Source organism: Homo sapiens, chromosome 8 (genome assembly GCF_000001405.40).
Source record: "Homo sapiens chromosome 8, GRCh38.p14 Primary Assembly".
NCBI lineage: Eukaryota > Metazoa > Chordata > Mammalia > Primates > Hominidae > Homo > Homo sapiens.
In genome coordinates, this window is record NC_000008.11 from 68991252 (window position 1) to 69015764 (window position 24513).

Here is a 24513-nt window from a genome sequence, read left to right on the forward strand (position 1 = left end):
ATTTTTTGGAACAAGTCTATACATATATTAAAATAAGGAATTCATTGCAGGACTCAGTTTTTTTTCTTTTGTCATGACGATGTGCTTTTGAAAATTCATGTTTTCCTATTTGCTCCATTCATAAGTATGATTTATATCTCATTCACAGGAATGTTGGAATATTAAAGGGCTTAAAATGAAAGGCGTGCAATGTTGAAAAGCCCTTTTAGTCATTGCCTGTGTGGCCTCTGTCAACACTGTTAAGCATGTCTAGAATGTTTATGTGTGTGGCCTAGACTCTCTGACTCTGTTGTGATGTTTCTGTAGAAAGCAAAGCATCACCAAAATGCCATAACCCACAACAAGAACTAAAGAATGCAAAGCATGTTCTGGGTATTATCCATCGAAGAGTTAATTCTCAAATGGATCATCACATTTGCACTTAGCACAAAACAAGTGGGTACAAAATGCTTGGGAGAAATGCTGTAGCTTTTTCTGGTTGCTTCATGGATGCCGCTCCTGTGCTAATGAGGTCTGAAAGCAGTGGTCTGATATTTTAGATTATCAAAAATATAAACCCTTTCAGGGTCACACTAAGCTGATGCTTAATCTGTTGGAAATAGGTCCAGGAAAACATCAGATTGTTTCATGAAAAATTGGAAAACAACTTAAATATTGAAATAGTTAAAATTAAGGATTCTACAAAAGGAACTCTTACTCTTAGAGTAAGTAAAAATAAAATACACTTCCTCTTCACACGAATGCAAATCCACTCTGTAGAAATGCTATAAAGACTAAGAGTTGATGCTTATTTAAAAAGAAGTGATAGCATTTTCAATAAAGGATAGTCCGAACCATGGAAATAAAGGAGAGTATATCTTTTTGTAGGGTGCGGAAGTAGCTCATAGATATTCTAATCCTATGACTTGTCTCTGACACTCAGAATAGCAGCTTCTTGGTCAGCCACATTGCATTTATATGGGTATAAAAATGTGTTGTCTTCTTATTCCAAGTTTCCAAACAGTGGACTGAATCACACATTGAAATGTTTCCCCTCTCACCAAACATACTGAAGAAATCTTAATAGGTTCCCAATGAAGAAGTCAAAGAGAAGGTTTTTGTGGTAAGAGAACAAGGTAGTTATTTTAAAGAATTACAAAATAGGGCACAAAAAGTTCTCAGTGATTTTTGGATGCGAAATTCTGTTCCACCCATTCTGTCACATAAAAATATCTTTACCACAGTATTATAATACACTGAGGAGGAGAAAATCATGCATATCCTTTTAGAACACATTCATGTGCTCTTAGGATATAATTTTCCACTTTTCTTGAAGTCAAATAAGGGAAAACAGACTATTGCTAACTTCTTTATTTTTTAGTGTTGGCCAGATACTGAGCTTGACAAGAACTGGGGTTATCAATATAGTCTTTCTTTATTATTCTGAACTGGATCTTACATATTAAAATGAAACTTTTCCTGATAATGTCTTTCCTTTTCCCTTTAAAGCCCAGGACACTTTTCCCCCCTGATTTTTACATGTCTTATTTCTACATAAGCAAATGTCTATTAAAATTTGTTTTTTGGGATCCATATTCTGAAATGGTATTCACAGGATCATCTTATCCTGATATTTTTAATTTCACAAGTCGTCTTTGCATTTACCTTTAAAATGAAATCAAAATGATGACCATTGTTGAGATATAATAGTACGAGAAGTTTGGTACTTTATAAACTGAAGACAGAAGGCAGAAAACAGCCTAGATTACAGATTTTTCTTTAAATGAATGCATAAGAGAAATCGAAAGTACTTTATAAACCAAAGACAAAGTTTACTTTTTGGTTCTCATATTTTGTTTTAGTAATGGGATAAACATGGAATGTCATTGCCAACAGTGCAAAAGATTTTTTCTTGTTTCACTGGAATTAAAAAAAGAGAGAAAGATTTCTCCAAGTTACAAAGCTCTCTTCTAAAATCTATAATTCCTTATGGATAGCCTTTTATTTTTGGATGATAAAAACATGGAGGAGAAAGTGGGGATGTCAAGCATGAATTATTAATATTAAACACATTTTTAAAAAATCTGTGGGAGTTTTAGAAGAATGTGGTAAAAGAAATGTCCTAGAAATTCAGCTTCATGAGAAATTGAATATACGTGTTGAAATTTTTCTGAAAGGTCAGTTTTTAAATGATATAAAGGAGGAATGACTGGAAAATTTTGTTTATGGACTGTTTCTTATTTTGAGAACAACTGTGTTGTTTCTGTCTCTGGAGTTCTACTGTGAAATGTCGCTCACCCTTCTCAGCTTTAGCAACTTAAAAGCTCTTTTTGTAGTCAATTCCAAGAATTTCTGATCAGGTTCCAGAAAGACTTACAGCTCTTTCACGAAATGAAATTGTATGGACCAGTAAGAATCCACAAAATTAACAGCATTTGAAAAGTTATCCAATGTTAACTAATAACCAGTCATCACCTAACTCTGAAAATAAAACTTTTTTTTTCTTTAAGAGAAACAAGAAATGAAGATGCCGGGATAATAAACTGTTATGATTTATCAACCCACTACACTGCTGCATTCCTAGCTTTGAACTGTGGTCCTTCCTTTCTTCATTCCTTTCTTTCTTCCTCCTTTCTTTTCTTTCTTTCTCTTTCCTTTAAAAATTTCATTACCAGTGGACTAGTTTTTTTCTTAAAAGCATTCCAATATGGAAGATGTAAAACAGTGATTAGCTTGGAATGAAGTCCAGGTACAGGCCCAGAGTCCAGGCTTCCATCTCCCCTTCTGCATCCCTACAAACAACTGCCAGTTGAAAAAATCTCTCAAAGTTCCAGCCCTCAGAGCCGTACAATTTAGTTGAAGAAGTAAAACTAACTCATATGAAGCAATTAAATTTAACCAACATACGAAGCGCTACATTAGATTATGCAGGCCATGCCATTTGTAGAATGCTGCATTGCTGCCTCTTGCCTGTATTTGTATTTTACCTCATTCTCTGTGATAAATTTGTTTAACGTCTTGCCTTCTATTGGGACAAGAAATATGTTTTTAAAAATTTAAGGGGGCAAATTCATAGTAGCTTTTGAAATATTAGAGAACTAAGATAAGGTAGAAATAAGACCATCCTGGAGATCAAAGAGACAAACCATTAATTTCACTGGGCAGATAAATAATCAACTGAACATTCTAGCCAAAGAGAAATCTCTGCAGCCTGGAGTTCCCAGGGATAAACTGGGATGAAAGATATTTTATATTTTGAAAGTTATTTGATGCACATTAATTTATCTTTTGCTTTATTTCTAAGAATGTTCGATTCCACAGGACTTGTTCAACAAAAGAAAATACATTTCACTTACATGATTACTTAAATCATTCTTAGATTTCTGGGCACTGATAGAAGACATCTATCAATTCATTAGGACTTTTTAATCTACTATGAGCATAAATATTTATATGTTTTTAGAGAGCCAAAGAATAAAAATTATTTCTGTTTTGTGTTATTTCACTTTATAAGAATTTACTCTTTCTAATATGCACATATGTGCCATCACTGGCTTTGACCACATGTCTAGAAAAACAGATATAGAAGTAGAAATTTCATGAAGCTAATAGAAACAGTTCTTCATATACCTTTATGTTGAGTTTGATTGTATTCCATTAATATGATAAATAATCCATTTCTTCAGTAATTTGTTCTTAGGTTGATCATGAAATTATTTAGGGGAGCTGCATAGTACCCCTAGGTACTATGCATAGGCATCGGTACTATAGATACAGATAGTTATTTTTCTCCATTCTTTACTTGCAAGAAAAAATAATGAAGGCACTTCTTCCCCTTCTCCTGCCAAGACAGCAAACATAAACTTAAAAAATTTTAGTACTAACTTGAAACTAATTGGCAGCATTTTGGAGTTTGGTATCCTAGTACAGCTTAAAAAATATCCCAGCCGGGCGCATTGACTCATGCCTGTAATCCCAGCACTTTGGGAGGCCAAGGCAGGCGGATCACAAGGTCAGGAGTTTGAGACCAGCCTGGCCAATACGGTGAAACCCTGTCTCTGCTAAAAATACAAAATTTAGCCCAGTGTGTGGTGGCGGGCGCCTGCAGTCCCAGCTACTCAGGAGGCTGAGGCAGAGAATTGCTTGAACTGGGGAGGCAGAGGTTGCAGTGAGCCAGGATTGCACCACTGCATTCCAGCCTGGGTGACAGAGCAAGACTCTGTCTCAAAAAATAAAATAAATAAATAAATAAATAAACAAACAAATAAAATCCCAGATTTCTAGATTGACCAGTCCTGTGAGAATACTTAACTCAGTGATGTCAACTAGCTATCTCACTGCAGCATTGAAAACATTCTACCTTCAAGGAGGAACCTTATATCAACACAAAGCTTTCTTCTGTTCTAAACAGATTACCATTGTACAGAAACAAATGAAATATTTTTGAATCCTATAAAACAGCAAATGGCTAACCCCCCCCAAAGAAAACTGCTAAAGTAATCTTATCCAAAGTAATCAAACCAAAGCACTTGCAATATCCCAGAGATGCCATATTCTTTTCTTAGTACTTTGTAATTCTTTTCATTCTCTCATACTCTTTTATACTTTACCATATTTATAATTCTTTTCCCTCTACTCTTCTACTTCTTTGTCAGGATGTCTACTACTCACTTTTAAAGATAGTGGCAAGGCAAAAACACTCCTAGGGAGACTTCTCTTGCTCCAACCCCATCATCTGCATTTCACTTTAATGAATCTCTATATTTTCATAAAACTTTGATTTACTTCCATGTAAACCCTTACCAATTTGCTCTGCAATTCTATGTATATTTGTCTGTATTCCTAACATGACATGAGGTTCTAGATGGCAGAACCATACTTTCTTCTGTGTATAATCAGTATTTAATACAGTGGCTGCAGTATTACACAGTATCTACAAATGGAATTCCAAACAAGTCATTAAATGAGACAGTGAGTATCACATACTTTTTAAGGATAATGAAAATAGAATAAGCATGATTTTTTGTTGAATAACATTATTCAAGCATACAGAGTAAACCTGTTAGAAACATGCAGGAGATTGCCAGAAATATAAATGTAAGGGAGGCTTTGAAATGTCACTGTTAGTCTTTGAAAGACTGATGACAACGAAGATGTTATAAATAATATCTGACATTAATTGCCCAACACAGTGCTAAGCTCTTTCCATGATTATCTTATTTAAGCCTTAAAACAACCTGGGAGGAGATGTGATTATTAACCTCATTTTCCAAATGAGAGATCTGAGATTTAGCGAGGTTAAATAAGGTGCCCAAACAGCTAATAAATGGTGGAGCTGGAATTCAAGCATCTGCAAAATGACTCCATAACTAGCACATAATTCAAACCTTCTAAATCCAAGGGAATGGGTCATTTTTATAAACTGGTTTTGTTCTTCTGACTTCTTGTTTCAGATTGAAAAATTATACATTTTAGAAATATATTTTACCTAAGTTTTCAAAATTACTATCATGAAATTATTCACAATCTCCATTTAGATCCTTTAAAGGTCTATAGCATTTCTGGTCATATTTTCTTTGCCCTTCTGATATTTGTTAATTGTGCTTTCTCTTGTTCAATTGTCTCACCACGGATTTGTCATTTTAGTTTGTCTTTTGAAGGAAACCACTGTTGGCTTTGTTCATTCTCTTCGTTCTTTACTCCATGAATGTCTTTTCTACCCTGTATTATTTTCTTCCATGTATATTCTTTGAGTATATTTTACTATTCTTTATTAGCTTCTTAGGGTGGATGCATACCTTACTGAGTTTGAGTCTTTCATGTTTTCTAATATGTGCATTTAAGGCTGGCCTTTTTTCTCCCTGACTGCTTTAGTTGTTCCTACAAATTTTAATCTGTCATTGTTAAATACCATTTTGTTAAAAATATGTTTTCTTTTCATTGTGATTTCTTAATAGATGATATGTTATTAAAAAGTATTTCTGGCCAGATGTGATGGCTCAGGCCTATAATCCCAGCATTTTGGAAGGCCATGGCGGATGGACTGCATTAGCCCAGGAGTTTGAGACCAGCCTGGGCAACATGGTGACACCCCACCTCTACAAAAAAATACAAAGAATCAGCTGGGTGTGGTGGCACATGCCTGTAGCGCCAGCTACCTGGGAGGCTGAGTTGGGAGGAATGCTTGAGTCAAGGAGGATCTCTCGAGCCCAGGAGGATGAGGCTGTAGTGAGCCAAGATAACCACTGTACTCTGGCCTGGGTAATAGAGTGAGAGCCTGTCTCAAAAAAAATAATAAAATAAATGTTGACAAGTTTTAAAATATTTTTTCTAATTATGTAGTTCATAATTCTTGGCTTAATTGCTTTATAATTTGAGGGTATGCTCTATTGTTTTCATTCTTTTAACATTTGTTGTAGTTTTTTTTTGAGACAAAGTATGTAATTTTTTAGCAATATTATGATTTGCTTAGAAAGAAAGTTAATTAGCATAAGGACCTACGTTCATCAGATCTAGGTTGCTGATCACATTGTTCAAATCTTCCCAGCTGATGCTAAGCCTTTTTTAAAAAATAGGTTTGCCTATTCCCCCAAGTAGTTCCATCATTTTTTCCGTGATATACTTGGAAACTGTGTTACCAAAGCCATAAAATATAAAATAATTTTTACTTGTATATATAAGTCTTATGAAGTGACTTTTTTCTTTAGCAATGATTTCACCTTAATGCTTTCTCAGTTTAATACTAATATTGCTCTACTAATACCCTTCCAATTTGTATTTACGTGGTATATTCTTCCAACATTTTTTTAGCCTCTGTATATGACTTTGAATAAGATGCATCTCTTATTAACAGAATATGGTTAGACTTTTAAAGAATATTTAATCTTTGCATTCTTTTATATTTATTAACTGTACCATTTATATGTATTTTATAATAATCTTCAGTTAAATCTAACTGTTGTATTACATTTTACATATTTTTCCCCCTGAGGCCGTCATTCATTAAAGTTTCCCAGTAAACAAAATTAATGCAATTTTCAGAAGTAAAAAGTGTTTTGCTAGTTTAGACTTACATGATGATGAGTAAATATGGTTTCTTCTCTGCTCCTAGGCTGAAGGTATGAAAGTGAGTAACACAGAACTGATTAAATTCAATGTAATAATGCAATACAGCAATGTAACCATTTCACAGTTGCATAAAGGGATAGTTTTTCTGTTTTCAATTTCATTGGCTTCTGCTTTCTTATTATTTAATTTTATTTTTATTTTTTTCTTTTTGAGACAAAGTCTCACTCTTTCACCCAGGGCTGGAGTGAATTGTTTCCTATAAGCAATCCTATAAGCAATCTTGGCTCACTGCAACCTCTGCCTTCTTGGGTTCAAGAGATTCTCCTGCCTCAGCCTCCCAAGTAGCTGGGATTACAGGTGCCCACCACCAGGCCTGGCTAATTTTTGTATTTGTTGTAGAGATGGGTTTTCACCGTGTTGGACCAGCTAGTCTTGACCCCCTGACCTCAAGTGATCTGCTCGCCTCGGCCTCCCAAAGTGCTAGGATTACAGGTGTGAACCACCACGCCCAGCCTGCTTTATTATTATTATTTCATTCATTCTGCTTCTTTTGGTTTTGTTATGCTCTTCATTTGCAAAGTTCTTGAGGTGGAAACTTTGCTTATTGATTTTGACTTTTTTCTAGTATATATATTTAGTGCTATCAATCTGTTAGCACTGCCCTATCTGCACCCTATACATTTTGAAATGTGTGTTCATTTCTTTCAGTACAATGTATTTTCTAATTTTTCTTGATACTTTATTTTTGATAATGCTCTTTTTTAGAATCTTTTTCTTGGTCTGCATTTTTTGGTATTTTAGGGTTGCCAGTTTCATCAGCATAAAGTCTGAGATATTTCAGGCACAAAGAAAACCCAGGGCCAGGTGTGGTGGCTCATGCCTGTAATCCCAACATTTTGGGAGCCCTAGGTGGAAGGATCACTTGAAGCCAGGAGTTCAAGACCAACCTGGGCAACAAAGTGAGACCATCCCTCTACAAAAAAAAAAAAAAAAAAAAAAGAAGCCAGGACTGGTGCGTGAACCTATAATCTCAGCTACTTGGGCTGCTGAGGAATGATGATCACCTGAGCCTGGGAGCTCAAGGCTGCAGTGAGCGGCATTCATGCCACTGCACTCCAACCTGGATGACAAAACAATACACTGACACTGTCTCAAAAAAAAATTACACAAAACTCATCAGCATGTCATTTCTTGAGTCCTAGGGCTGTTAGCTGGACTGCCTTCTTCTCTCTACCTTTCAGAGTTTTCTTACCTTTGGTTTATGTACAATGTGCATAGTTTTTTATTTTTTATTTTTATTTTTTATTTTTTGAGACAGAGTCTCTCGCTCTGTCACCCAGGCTGGTGTGCAGTGGTGCGATCTTGGCTCACTGCAAGCTCCATCTCCTGGGTTCACGCCATTCTCCTGCCTCAGCCTCCTGAGTAGCTGGGACTACAGGTGACTGCCACCAGGCCTGGCTAATTTTTTGTATTTTTAGTAGAGACGGGGTTTCACCGTGTAAACTAGGATGGTTTCGATCTGCTGACCTTGTGATCCACCTGCTTTGGCCTCCCAAAGTGCTGGGATTACAGGTGTGAAAGAACGAACAACTCCAGACTTGCTGCCTTTAAGAGCTGTAACACTCACTGCGAAGGTCTGCAGCTTCACTCCTGAAGCCAGCGAGACCACGAACCCACCAGAAGGAAGAAACTCCGGACAAGTCTGAACATTAGAAGGAATAAACTCCCGACACACCATCTTTAAGAACTGTAACACTCACCGTGAGGGTCCGCGGCTTCATTCTTGAAGTCAGCGAGACCAAGAACCTACCAATTCCGGACACACTAGGAATACATATAACAAGAATTACATGAGACCTCTGTAATAGAAACAGTAAAATTTGGCTGGGCATGGTGGCTCATGCCTGTAATCTCAGCACTTTGGGAAGGCGAGGCGAAGGGATCACAAGGTAAAGAGATCGAGACAATCGTGGCCAACATGGTGAAACCTTGTCTTTACTAAAAATGCAAAAATTTTTAGTAAATTTTTCCTGAAGTGGCAGGCTGGGTGTGGTGGCACGTGCCTGTAGTCCCAGCTACTCGGGAGGCTGAGGCAGGAGAATGGCTTGAACCCGTGAGGCGGAAGTTGTAGTGAGCCGAGATTCTGCCACTGCACTCCAGCCTGGCGACAGAGTGAGATGCTGTCTCAAACAAAAAAAAAAGAAAAGAAACAGTAAAATTTTACTAAAGAATGTGAAGAAGGTGTGAATAATATGGAAGACATACTGTGTTTCCAAATGGGAAGACTTAAAATGGTGAAGGTAACATTACTCTTCTAACGACATATGTATTTAGTTGAATCAAAAAAAAAAAAAAAATCCCGTGGTAGTTACTGTAAGATCATGACCATATGATTAAATTTTCATCTGAAAAAAATTTAATTGTAAAAATAGAATAATTTTGGATAAACAAGGTGTGTGAGTATGGCAGTGGCCCCTGGAAAAGACTCTGTTCCCTCCCTTGGTGTCATAATATTCTATGACATTTCAAGGATCAAAAGAATATGATTGTGATGCTAACATCAATACAGGTCAATGGACACAAAGTTACCAAAGTATGAAAAATACAATATGTAAGAAATTAGCACTTTGCATTGGTAGCAAGATTAATCGTTTAATCATGCTGGAATAATTAATGAACTTTTAGCCAAAAAATACAATCTGTTTTTACCGTGTATCACACAGCAAAATGAATTATACATGCAGAAAGATTTAAGTCTAACTTAAATTTAAATGTTCAAGATAAAATCACAATAGCACTAGAAAACAATGAATATTGATACTATCTTGGAACTTGAGAAAACTTTCTAAGCATAAATCCAAAGGTAAAGACCTTGAAGAAAAACATTAATAGATTTGATTACTTTAAAAGTTTGAAGAAATTATCATAACAAAATTGAAATACCATGAGTAAGCTAGAAAAAAATGGATTGCAATACAGTAATGGATAATATATTACTCTATTAGTCTGTTAGAGCTAGACACATAACACTGCAGTCTATGTATCTTAAATAATAGAGAAAAAGAATAGAAATGTATTTTCTCACAGTTCTGGAGGCTGGATGTCCAAGATCATAGTGTCAATAGGGTTGGGTTCTTCTGAGGCCTGTCTTTTGCGCTTGCAGATGACCACTTTCTTGCTGTGTCCTCACGTGGCCTTTTCTTTATGCACTCACATCCCTAATGTCTCTTCCTCTTCTTTAAAGGACATGAGTCCTATTGGATTAGGGACTCACCATTATGACCTCACTTAACCCTAATAAACTCTTTACAGGCTTTATCCCAAATACAGTCACATTAGGGGTTAAGGCTTCCATATAGGAATTTGGGGGGAACACATGTAATCCATAACAGTTATATCTGTATAAATGATAAGATTCTTCCCATCAATAAAGAAAATGTGAACACCACAATAAATAAGTGGACAAATGGAAAAATAAAAAAATTCACTGAGAGAAGTATAGATGCCCAATTAAATGAGGAAAGTGATTCAGCTCACCTGTAATCAAAGCATGGCTTACTCAACTGGAAGAGATATAACATGTTTTTGCTTATCAGACAGGTAAAAATCAAAATTAAAATAATAATTAGTAAAATTAGAGAAAAAATTATTTCTTGCATTTCATGACTGACCTTAATTCTCTTTTATTAGCTCAGAGCTAAAACTCTATTTACATTTTGGGAAAAAAAAGTCTAAATGTTTTCTCTGAGGCATTTGAACCAGAGGGATTCCATCTTGAATAGGGGCTGGGTAAAATGAGACTGAGACCTACTGGGCTGCTTTCCCAAGAGGTTAGGCATTCCAAGTCACAGGGTAAGACAGGAGGTTGGCACAAGGTCACAAAGACCTTGCTGATAAAACAGCATGTGATAAAGAAGCCAGCTAAGTCCCACCAAAACCAACATGGCAATGAAAGTGACCTCTGATCATCCTCACTGCTCATTATATGCTAAGTGTAGCATTAGCATGCTAAAACACACTCCCACCAGTGCTATGACAGTTTACAAATGCCATGACAACATCAGGAAGTTAACCTATATGGTTTAAAAATGGGAGAAACCTTCAGTTCTGGGAACTGCCCACCCCTTTTCCAGAAAACTCATGAATAATCCATCCCTTGCTTAGCATAAAATCAAGAAGTAACAATAAGTATAAGCAGCTGAGCAGCCCATGCTCTTGCTCTGCCTATGGAGTAACCATTCTTTATTCCTTTACTTTCTTAATAAACTTGCTTTCACTTTATGGATTCACCTCAAATTCTTTCTTGTGCAAGATCCAAGAACCCTCTCTTGGGGCCTGGATCAGGACCACTTTCTGGTAATAGTTTGACAGAAATTTTTACTTTGTAGCTAATCATTAAGTGTTAAATAGGTTAGTACATTATCTAGGTGGTAAGCAAATTTGGAATTTAAAATATCAAGGTTTGTATTAGAGCTTAGAAAAATCTATGAATTGAATATTAAAATTCTGACTAAAAAGAAAGCCAAGAAAATTGCTTTTTAAAGGAATCTGCTTAGAAGGTTATGACTGCCACTTGCACTAATAGGGACAACATATTTAGTTAAAGAACAGGACACAGAAATTTAGAAGTGCCATCATAACATGGTATGCAGGAATTTTATTAAGCATATCTGTAGTGGAAAGAACAAAATATTACAACAAACAAGCTTATAATTCTGATAGTGGTAAAATGATGGAACATTTAAAATAGCATATTTTAAGATGTGTAAACTCTTAAAGTGTACACTTGACAGACCTTTTCTCAGAAAGCTACCTAAGGATGTGTAATAGTCAGTGAAAAAGTGAATCAACATAGAGTAATGAAGAAGGCAGAGAACATATAACAAACAGTGGTGATCACATAAACCTGTAAAATAAATAGCAAGTTTAAAACCCATAATGAAAGAGCCTATTACACTTCTAATTTAAAGACCATAGTGAAGCAAGAAGTACTATGCTGAGTTAAAAGCTGTTTAGTTGAGTGTCAGTGGAACTACAAAAGATATGTGGCTCCACAGGCACCCGAAACATCCATAAGAAGGAAGACTCCCTGGACATGAGGTTGTTCAATGAGGTTAGAGACCTACATTCTCTTGGGAAGCTGCTGATCTAACCCCAGATAACCTTTGATCCACTCTGATATTTGATTGCTAGAAAACCATGTAATAGCTTCCAATTGTAAATTTTTACATAGAAAACATCATGAAGTGCTCATTCTAGTTCTTACCATATTTTGAGATTAGTTTATTCAAAGTTCACACTGTGAATGATACATTCATATTTTTGTCATAAAAACCATAGCAGTTGCAAATTTAAGATAAATTTACTTTAAAAGTTAAGCTATTGAGGTTAAATATTTGATTTATAATTTTGTCATCATGTGTCTTAAAAAATCATAACCCAGGTAATTTAGATTAATCTTTAAGAAATGTTCACCCAAAGTGAAATGGTATATAGCAACTGGCAGAATTTTTTTAAAAAAACCAGTTGGAAATATTGAAATTAGAATATAATAAGTTAGACCATCAACTGACTGTACCCAAGAAAACTTCCTGGGATTCTCAAAGACTAACACCTACATTTTAAAGGTTTTGTCTGGAATAATGTTTCTTTTGATATCAACATTTGTTACATTGTTAATTTATTCAAAAGTATATCTGTGATATTTCATATGAGCCTATTACATATTCAAATACTTAAACTCTCAACATGGATTAATGTCCATGAAAGTAATTGTCCTTAATCAATTCCTTAATGTAGATAATACCACTTGTCAGTATAAATAATGTTTTAAGCTCAAGAAGCAGGCTCCTTAGTTTACGATAATCATTTTATGTAGGAGATAATTACCCAGAATTTCACAAACATGTTCAAAATTCACATAGTTTTATTCTCCAGCAGGAACCTGCCTTAGTTAATAGTTTTAGGGAAACAGAATTCTGAAGCTGATGGAGTATTTAATTTGAGGTAATAAGTGATAAATTTCACAATAGAACTACAACTAGAACCCAATCGATGAATTTGATAATGACTGGCTCTTTGCTATTGAGGACATGAGCAGCCACATTGATAAAATAGCTGATTAACAGAGAGCTATCAGTTAAGGACAGAGGAGAGCCACTAACATACATTCATCAGGATGTCATTTGCAGTCTTTTTATACAGGAATGTTAGTGGTTGGCTTCAGATCCTCTGTCTTAATTCAAACTGTCATTATGTAAATCAGTGTGTGAAGCCGGGTCTCTGCCAAAAAATATATCTTGTGAAATCTGCACATCCTTATAGAAATTCAAGTGAATTTGCCTAACTTACAAATGTGTGTAATTGGATAAACTAAAGTTTACTAGTTCAAAGGAAAACAAAATGTTTATAGTGGACACTAGACTTATTATATAAATTAGTTATTTTTTTCTCAAAGTGCTTTGATTTAAGTATATATATTTGTATTATACCCACTATTGGGTTTGTCTTACAGACTTTACTAGTGTCTGCATAAATGGCCTGAATAGAGATGATGATCAGGCCCTCAGCCTAAAGAACATTCCATTCACCCTCACCATTAGGTATTCATTACTTTGAATTGAATTTGTAGTCCCTATTGAAATGCAAACATGTCTGAAGGGGGTTACATATATATGATGCAAATCTCAGTAACATTTCATTATTCATCCTTTATTAGAGTGCATCAAGTTCACTGAAAATAGGTTTTGGTGTGTCTGAGAGGGGAAGAAAAGGTCTGGAATCTGAGACAGTCTAAGATGAGTCTTGGTTGGAGAGGCTTATATAGCAGGAAGACTTCAAAAGATCAAAAAAAGGAAGAGAAGAATGTCAAGGCAGAACAAAATAGGATGATATTGAATTTCAGTAACAAACCATGTCTAATTCATATTCTTAGCTTTTCTCACGGTGAGCTCTACCTGCCAGAATCAAGTGTTCAGTAAGTCCTGGGCAAATTTTGATATAGACTGTGCCAAACCTACAAATAAATTATCCAAAACTGATTTATATGCTAGTTATTTAGAATCTAGAAAACATATTCACAGAGAAACAACGCTTTATCACAGAGATAGGATTCTGATCCACCCCTGAAATTTTGTGTAAATGATGATAGACATATAATACTGATTGACTAGTTGTCTGTTCCTACATAACAAGCCACCACAAAATTTAAAGAGTTAGAACAACGTTTTTATTATTTCTCACAATTCTATGAGTGACTGGTTTTTCAGCTTCATGTGACGCTGTCTTGGGTTGCAGTGATCTGGGAGCTGGATGGCTGAGAATGTCCAAAATGGCACACTCACATGGTTGGCAGTTGAAGCCGGCTCTTGGCTGAGAGCTCAGCTGGCTAACAACCAAAGCACTTACACATGGCTTCTCATTAGAGTTGGCTTCTTAGAGCATGGCTGTTGGTTCCAAGAGAGAGCATCCCAAAAGCACGAGTGCCAAGAGGCAGAAAAAAGAAGCTGTTTAGCCGTTAAGAGTTACACTCAGAACTGGCAAGGCATCACTTCAGCCATATTCTGTCAGTCAAAGCAGTCACAGAGCCCACCAAGATTTAAGGGAATGGAGAAATAAACTCTATCTCTGGATGGAAGAAGAGTGAAGTCACATTTCATAAGAAGATGTGAGATTGGAAGCACCTGTCTGACTGTCTTTGGAAAATACAATCTGTAACTGTTACCATCTCCTACTACAATGTAAATGAGTTTACCATTATGTAAGGAGATAGTTGGGATGCACTGTACTAAGACTGAGAAATTTTAGGCTTCACAGTCAGGTCTACTTAACCTCTGAATTTTAGTAACCTCCTCTAAAACATGGAATGTTATAACAATAATGATTTAAACCTCTTGTTCAGTGCCTATACAATATACCAGATTATTTTTAAATGACTTATGCATATTTAATCCTAATAAGAGCTCTATGAAGTAAGTTATATCATCATTCCTATTTTAGAGACAGGTAACTGAAATAAAAAGGAGTAGAAACTCTCCCAAACTTACATAAACAACAAATGACAAAACTGAGATTTCTCATAAGGATTAGATCAGGTAATACATCTAAATGTAAAATGAATGGCCATATTATCATCATGATATTTAACTATCTAATTCATAATATTTTAAAATTAAATGCAGTTTAAGTATAGATATTTCAAACATGCAGAAGAGTTTAGAGAATAATATAGGAAAGATACATAATGAACTAATACATATTATTCAGTAATTATCTGACAAATATCAGGCAGGCACTCAGGCTCTAGCTGTCATTGTTATTATTGTAGCCAGTCTCCTGTTTATATAAAAATATAGTCCTTAATACACTACGCAGCCTGAAGTAATCATGGTGGAATTACAAACGAAAATTCCCTCGCAATGTTAGTACCCTTCCCTAACTCATTCCCTGCCAATTCACAGCCCAGGAGCATGTAGAGTGTAGTGAACTGTCCAATTTTAACCTTTACTGAGAGCTGTACTTTTCCCATAATTATACAGATGTCTACCTTGTAAATGTTCAATGTTAGGGATAATTTGAGGAGTAAGGTAAAGAAAACAATTCTTTGGTAGCCCCAAGAAACAAGGAACTTAAGAGGAATCCAGACCTAAGTAGGATATGTGGGGCAGAGAAGGAAATTAAGCTGAAGAAATAAAATATCCTCAATTCCAGCACACCAGGTGTTTTTAAATGTGCTGCCTTGCCAAGTGAAAGTAAGCAGACTTTTATACAACAATAGGGCTTGTTCTAGTATCTCTATATTTAGGAGAAGCCAGAACATGCGTTCCATTTTGACAGGAATAGTCCTTAAATAACAGAAATCCTTAAATAATTTTAATAGCTTTTTACACAAAAGTGCCCCAATTTGGACAGTAAATTATATGGTCATCCTACCTAGCTTCAGTCAATAAAATTACTATTCCTCTGGTCACCCAACAGAAACTTGAGTTTTATCTTATGTTTTCTTGGCTTTTTTTTCTTATTGACTTAATTAATTATTTATTTATTTATTCAGCAAGCATCTACTCACCATCTAGGATGTGCCATTCATTGTGTTTGAGAGTAAGGATTCAAAGACAAATAGAAGGTAGTTTGTGTTCCCAAGGAGTTTATAGACTTGCAGGAGAGACAGTCATATGAATATTACTAAAAAATTTATCATAAGTGAAATGATAAAATACACATATTGTAGGACAAGAGGTGGGAATACATCAAGGATATTTTGGAGGAAGTGGATCTGAAGTCTTAATGGAAAATTGAGATAGCTGAGTAGAGGAGGTGAACAGGGATATCAGTGGAGGTGATATTCATTTTCTATTGTTTCCTAACAAACTACCACACACCTAGTGGCTTTAAACAACACACATTAATTATCTCTCAGTGTCTGTAAGTCAGAAGTCTGGGCATAGCACTGCTGGATTCTCCTCTCAGGGGCTGAAATCAAGGTGCTGGCAGGGCCCCAGTTCTCTGTGAGGTTTGGGGGTCTTCCTCCAAGAGCACTGGTTGTTAGCAGAACTCATGTCTTTGCAGCTGGAAAACTGAGGTCTCCATTTTCCTTCTAGCTGTTGGCCAGGAATCACTCTCAGCAACTAGAGGCTACCCTCAGATTTTTTGCCAAATGGAGGTTCACAGCACAGATGGTTGCTTTCTTCCAGGCTAGACAAGTGAGTCTTTGTGAGAATTAATTATTTGTGATTTCTCCTACAAACATGTCATGCTGCTTATCACCTCCGTGGTAGCTGAATTCTAACTCCCCTGCTCCCCACCTGATTCCTGGTCTCTGATGTACACAAACCTTCTTCTAGGTGTTCAATCAAACACTGATCTAGCTCCTGCTATGAAGGGATTTTGTGGATGTAATTAAATTTCCATGTTTTTTGGCCTTAAAATAGGGAGCTTATCTAGGGAGTCTGACCAAATCCATACCCAAAGAGCTCAGCATCATGGGGCCTAGCATTTCAGACTTCATCCTACAGTTCAGTGTTTGCCAAAGGGTGGCCTGTAGCCCTCTTGTTTATGAATCATCTGTTGTGCTTACTAAAAATACAGGCTAAAAGTTTTTACGTAGTTATGTATATAATAGAGATCTCAGGTTCACAGAAATAAGTTGATTATAATCCTCAATCCATGGCATGCAATCATTATTTGTCACTTTCAAGGTCTCTCTTCTGTTTTATATTAGTTTTTCCTCCTCACCCCCATTTTCATTTCTACTCCCAATTCTTACATACACAACCACTCTAGTGTACCTAACATTGTCCTGCTAATCCACCTTCTATGTGTTAATGAAATATATGCACATCTTTGAATAATATATGTTATTTTGTTTGTATGTATTTTATTAGTTTTTTCATATATGATATTGTGCTATAAATCTAATGTGGTTTTGTTTGTCTGTTTCTTTCTTTCTTTCTTTTTAATCCACTGGTCACTTTTACTTAGTGACTGCCGTAAAGTGTTTTGTCCTAAACAGAACCACATTTTGCTCATTGACTCCTCTGGGGATGGAAATCTGAATTCTTTCCAACTTCTTGTAATCACATCTTGTATTCCCTTATCTGTGAGAGTTTCTGGTCATACTACTAAATGAAGTAAGTCACTCAATTGTTACCTATCTCAGCTGTAAAAGAGAAACAGCCATTGCTTTTTCTTTGGTAATCTAGTAACATTGTTGATGTCCCATATTTTTATTGTAACAATTCATGTGTTCAGCAGGGCAATTTGGGAAAATTCCAGAAAATAAACATGTAAGGAAAGTGGTTACACAATGACCCAAATAAGATATGCCTTTGATAGAAACAATTCTGGTCAAACTTGCTACACAAATATCATTTTTTCAATATAATTATTTTAGATAACATGATAAAATAAATGTAATGCATTGCTATAACACAAGATTCTATAACTTTTTTTTACTTTTATACAATTACTTTTTACAAATTGGGTAATATCATACATATGGCTGCTTTTTCAATTATGAACATTTTCACTTCATTGACTTTTTAATAAAAATATGATTTATATGTATTTAAACATTTTCTTTTTACTTTTGCACTTTATAGCATATAACATACAGGTAGAACAGTGAACAAGTCATTGATAATGACTTGATAAATAATGTTTGATAATGATAATGTTTGATAAATGTTCATGAAGAAAAAAGATTGGTATTAATTTGAATGTGAAGTTGTTTCCAACTTCCCAATCCATAAAACTTTATTTACAGTTCTGATTTTATTTTCCTTGGAAAGATTCCTAGAAATTGAGTTACTAGTTAAATAACATAAGAATTTTAAAAATACTTTGTATATATTGGCAAATACCTTTTGGGAAAGATTGAATCATTTCATAGATTCAATAAAAGAGCCTATGGGAGAGCATTTGTACCATTCATTGGAGAGTACTAGTGCTCTGTTAATATTTTCTAATTGGATAGGTAAAAAAAAAAAAAAAATCTCATTATTGTTTCAGTTTTTATTACTAAAAAGATTGTGCTTTTTGACATCTGTTACCCTGTAAATTATCTCTCCTCTGGTCATTTTTTTTCCCTACTTGAGGGTTAGTGATTTTAAAAATTAATTTTAAAAATAGTTTATATACTAAAGATATTGGCCTTGAGTAATACTTGTTACAAGTTGTTATCCACTTCTATTGCTTTACAATTTCTAGACATTTTACATGTAGTTTTAATTTTTTCAAATATATTGATACAAATAATACAAGGTTAAAAAATTCTAGAAAGTTTATTCTATTTATATATATCATCTATCTGTATCTTTCTATCTCTTTATCTCAGTCTCTCATGACAAATGTCTCCTTTAAGAGAGATATTTTTATTAGCTCTTTTAGCATTTATATTCATATATCTAAATAGCATATTTATGCTATTTGTTGATTTTTTAATATCTTTATTAGAAAAACCTTTATCAAATCTCGACAAAAATATATCAAAAAGTATCTATTTTTTTGGCTCCCTATGATGAAGATTTAGCTCTTGTTTTGCTGCCCCACCACCCTCCACTCCCATCCTCATACTACTCAGCCACCCATATAAATACAATAATAATATTGCTCAGGTAAATATTTAGCGCCTATATTATCAAGACTGTGCAATGGTATTCATAGCTGAACCGTATACAGAGTCTATAATTACTATTCTCCTTCATTACAACTTTTTGTTTCTCCTGAAGAAACAAATCTCTTGCTTTTTGTTTGCTTACATTTCTATATTTTATGTCTTTCCCTGAGTTGTGTAACTTGCTTCCTAATACCTTAAAAAATAACAGATATCCTATCAATTTCATCTGCCAAAAGATATCTCTCCCAGAGCCTCTGAGCAGCTGTAGTCTGTGCATCTGCTCCCTAGGCCTGCTGTAAAGATATTGTCCTCACAGGCCTTTCTTTTGTCATCTTCTGGGGGAGTTCTCCACCTCCAGTGTGTATCTGAACCATGGTTTTCTGGAATCTGTGCTTTATCTTTTCTTTGTTTAATCCCTTGCTTTGATTGAAAACTGCCTTAAAATGATGCATATCTGAGATGGTCCTTATCATTCCCTCACACTTAATCAATAGTCTGGCTATATGAAGGTATTTCAGGACTGAATGGTGAGATATCTCTCGCACACTCATTTCCTGGACTCAGTTCACAGAATTCTGGCTACCAGGAAATACCCTCCAGGCAGGAGATTGGAAAATTATTTTCTGTGGAATCTTGACCAGCTCAAGAGTAAAACTAAAGATGATACTAACATCCTGAGGTCCCTAATGAGGTGAAATAAGCTGCCCAGACCATTATCCTGCAGGTGACAAATTCCATTTACGATTTTCCTCAGAACTTTGAAGGCATTGTTTTCTTTTCTTCTAGTTACAATGGTTACTGTTGATAGCTTCTCTTCATTACAATTATTTTATACTTTGAATATAATCTGAATTTCCCCCCTTTTTTGGAGGCCTATAGGATTTTCTTTTAGTCCACAGTGCTTGAAATTTAATAATGTTGTACCTTGGTGTGTTTTCATATTTATCCATTTGTAATAAACAATCAATGTGCTTTTTCAATATGGAAACTCTTGTCCTAGAAAAAAAAACACTGAAATATTTTGCTTATTTTTCTCCTCTTCTTTTTCCTTGTTCTGTCTTTTTTCTCTCTTTAATATCTATTTTTTTTTCTGGGATCAAGCATCCCAGAATAATACTCCGATTTTCTTATATTTTCCCTCTTATGTTTCATCTCCTTATCTTTCTTGTCTACATTCTGGAAGATTTTTATCATCTTTATTGTTCTTTTTTAAAATTTTTGCTATTATACTTACACTTTTTTTTCTTGGTGTGGTCCTGTTTTCCAAGTAGAATTTAAAAATACAATCCCATTGACATTTTTTGGAGACCATACTTCTTTTATTCCTCTGAGAACTATATAATTGTTTAAGTTTATATGTCCTCGTATATCCTCTCTGTTGTCTGTGAGTAGCTTTTTTCTTTTTCTGTTTCATGTTGGAGTTTTCTCTGGATATCTAGTTTTCTTCGGTTGCCTGTTAAAATGTTGCAGGTGCGAAAGCACTGATGGAAGTTTTTCTGTGCATATGGTGGTCGATTGTAGTCTTCTCGGTAGAGTAATGGACTGAGCTAATTTTGTTGCTGCTGATGGTGTTGCTGTATTGAGGAGCCCACAACGTAAGCACTTTTAGCTTTTCTCTTCAGTTGTTCAATGTTCCACTGAAAAGAATCTACTGTCCCGCCTGCCAAAATTCTGTGAGTTGATTCCAAGCAAGAGGTGAAGGAGAAATTTCTTAGCATTCAACGTGTATACTTTCCTTAATCTGCCTCTTTTCCGCATGATAATTCTGCCTACAATTGTGCCTGGTGTCCTCCAATCTAGAAAACACCTTTTCTTGCTCTCCAGAGAATATACCCCCAGCTTTCTACCAGATAGAAAAGGAATGGTTTCTCAGATCTTTTCCTAGTGGCAGTGGTTGGGGGTAAAGACAACTACTTATTAAGCACAGTTTCAACCCATCCCTTTCTTTTTAGCTTTAACCTCACTCCCACTTTCAGGGGTACCTGGTACCATCAATTACTGAACTTTGGGGGGTCTGTAGTACAAATCAAGTTGCCTCTCAGCTTTCTCTACTGCTGAAAGAATTCCATTTTCTCATTTTACTAAAGCAGTTATTCATAATCCTTTTGCATCCAAAATTTGCATCCAAATTTTGTTATTGTCATCTTCACTCCTCTTTGTCCTTGTGGGTTTGCAGTTTCTTTACCTTTAGCAATCTGTCATTTTAGTGGATCTTGGCAAGAAACAGAGGCAAACATTTCCATTCAATCTCTCCTTCTTACAATTTAATGTTAGCTTTTGATATAGAAATATTTCATTTTGATAAAGTTGCATTTAGTAATATTTTCCTAGAAAATTCTTTTCTTTGTTTTTAATACTTCTTATGTCTGTCTGTGCTCTGAAATCAATTACATATTCACTCCCACTTTCTTCTACATTTTATGATTTCATTTATAATCAATTTTTAAATCCACCTGGATGTTTTCTATGTATATATTCTTTAAATATTTACTTAATGTTCCTGCATCGTTTGTTGAATAATTCATTTTTCTCCTATTATTTCATAATACTTTATTTATTATCATTCAATTTTTATAAATTCTGAAATCTGTTTTAGGAATGCTTTTTCTAACTTATGGATACATTGATTTATTATCATGACTGTATCATAGTGCCACATCATACAGTGATTTGAGGGTTCTCATTAAAAAGGAACAAAAACAAAACCTCCTAATTATTTTTCCTTGGAGATGAGTAAGATAATCAGGTGCCAAGTGTGCATAGATTCTTTGTTTCGAACACAAAAGAAATCTTTTAGTTTTTAATCTAGCTAATCTGGAATTAGCTAAATTTGAAAGTGCAATTTTTAAATTTAAATTCAGTGAATACATTTGCAGATATTTTACTGAGCGGAAGAACAATGAGTTTAAGATAATCAAAAGTAACCTTGGTGTTTAATTCTCTTAAAATTTATTAAATCTGCAATTGTTACATTTTATTTAGTTAATTCAGGTTCATTGGTTTTAATTCAATTCACGGTTTTTGTTTAATTTCTTCCTATACTAACCCAGAGACAAATGTTTTTCTGTTCTGTGGCAGAGACACTGGGGGTGCTGGCATTTACTGTAAAAGCTGTGTGTGTGTGTGTGTGTGTGTGTGTGTGTGTGTTGGGGGTGGGGCAGTGGGTGTTAGGTGAGAACAGGTAGGGTGGTATGATGGACTGAATTGTGTCCCTCTCCCCAAATTCACATGTCGAAGCCCTAATCCCCAGTATAACTGTCTTTGGAGATACACCCCTTAAAGAAGTAGTTAAGGTGAAAAGAGTTGGTAAGTGTGAGGCTCTAATCCAACATAACTGGTGTTTTTCTAAGAAGAGCAAGAGACATCGGGGATGCCCACACACAGAGGAAAGGCCACGTGAGCACATGGCTAGAAGGTGAACAACTACAAGCCAAGGAGAGATGCCGCATGGGGAACTAAACCTCTTGACATCACGATCTTAAACCTCCATCCTCCAGAACTGTAAGAAAAGAAATCTGTGTTGTTTAAGCCACCCAGTCTGTGAGATTTTGTTACGGCAGCTGTAGCTAATACAGATAAATAGATTTAGAAGATCTGCTTGTTTGTCCCTTCCCATTCACTGGGCACAATTAGGAAAATTGACATTATTATATTTTTCTTCTTAAAAAAAAATCCTTACTGCAATCTACTAAACTGACATCATGACCCACTAATGGATCATAACACAAAGTGTTTTGTTCGGTTTGGTTTGGTTCAAGACACGGTCTTGCTCTCTCACCCAAGCTAGAATGAAATGGTGCAATCATAGCTCACTGCCACCTTAACCTCCTGGGCTCGAAAAATCCTCCCCCCTCAGCCTCCCCAGTAGCTGGGATTACCAGTGTGCACCAAATATTTAGATTTTTTGTGGAGGCAGGGTCTTGCTATGTTGCCTAGGCTGGTCTCAAACTCCTGGCCTCAAGCATCCTCCCACTTCAGACTCCCAAAGTGCTGGGATTATAGGCATGAGGCACCATTCCTGGCACAACACACAGTTTTTAAAATTCAGATTTATTCTACCATATCAACACCAGGGGTCCACAGGGCAGGCAGAAGGAATGAAAAACCACTCATGTGTGGCCATGGAGCACACTTCTAGAGACTACAGGATCCTTAGCTAGGTCACCAGCCCAGACAGAAGAAGCTGCTTGTGCAGAACTTCCTACTGCTCAGGACACCAGCCACTTCAGCACTCTGCCAACACTTGTGTCTGGTCATACTACTAAACGAAGTAAGTCACTCAATTGTTACCTATCTCAGTTGTAAAAGAGAAACAGCCCTCAGCTTAGTATCAGACATTGTTTGATTACAGTGACTTATGTGTAACAGTTCCCTGAAAAATAAAATTAAAAATATGTGCCAAATTAGAATATCTAATTGCTTATAATGTATCTTCCCTTAGTATTTTCTCTTCTCAAAATCTCTACAAGGAAGAGTCATAAATAAGATCATAATGGTTGTAAAATAAAACAAACGAATGAGTTGGGTAAATTTGGGAAATTTCTACCAATTAAGCATTCCACTCTTTGATATTAAATCTTTTAACAAACACAGACCAGTTGGATGCATCATGTGATTTTTGAAAAACAGAACCTTATTTGGTTATGGCCTATGAAGTCAGTTGAATCCAATTAATTTCATTTTTTTGAGTTGGATGCTTTACTCTTTTGATTTTTTATTATAAAATAATATGCACAGTATAAAAACTTAAAGAGCATAGTAAATTACTTTTTAGAAAGCTTTAGAAATCTTTACAATGTCACCTCTCAGAATAAAGACTGCGAAAATTAGTTTTGGCCCTAAGAGGGAGAGAAAGATGAAGGAAAGAAAGAGATGGGAGAAGCCTTCAATTCTGTGCCTTGGCCCCTAAACTACAACTCTTCAGATCTATAGTGAAACTCCTGACCTGTTGTCCTAGCAGCAATGCATGGATGTTTGTGGATGCTAGTGGATGGGTTGTGTTTCTCACAGGCACTGGGACAGGAGATGGAGAGCATGGGGGTTGATGGGCTACAAGGCTATTTCTCTCTTATATGCTATGAATATTGTCCCGTATTTTCACTGGACTCACATTATATCTATATATCTATATCTCTATCTATCTATCTATCTATCTATCTATCTATCTATCTATCTAATTTTTTTTTGAGATGAATTCTTGCTCTGTCGCCCAGGCTGGAGTGCAGTGGCATGATCTTGGCTCACTGCAACTTCCACCTCCCAGGTACAGGCGATTCTCCTGCCTCAGCCTCCAAGTAGCTAGGATTACAGGCGCCTGCCACCATGACCGGCTAATTTTTGTATTTTTAGTA

At 35.5% G+C, this 24513-nt stretch overlaps 1 long non-coding RNA gene across 1 annotated transcript in view, besides 1 other annotated feature; it reads right to left on the reverse strand.

Moving 5' to 3' along the window:
• The window catches only part of LINC01592 (long intergenic non-protein coding RNA 1592), a 192388-nt gene that overhangs the window by 79449 nt on the left and 88426 nt on the right, over positions 1 to 24513 (reverse strand). The window lies entirely within an intron of this gene.
• Positions 13436 to 13956: an enhancer, noted in NCBI's record as "OCT4-NANOG hESC enhancer chr8:69916922-69917442 (GRCh37/hg19 assembly coordinates)". NCBI's record gives its function as "activates a minimal SCP1, AML or CMV promoter by ChIP-STARR-seq in naive and primed H9 embryonic stem cells {active_cell/tissue: H9 hESC(naive and primed)}" and the evidence as "EXISTENCE:reporter gene assay evidence [ECO:0000049][PMID:30033119]".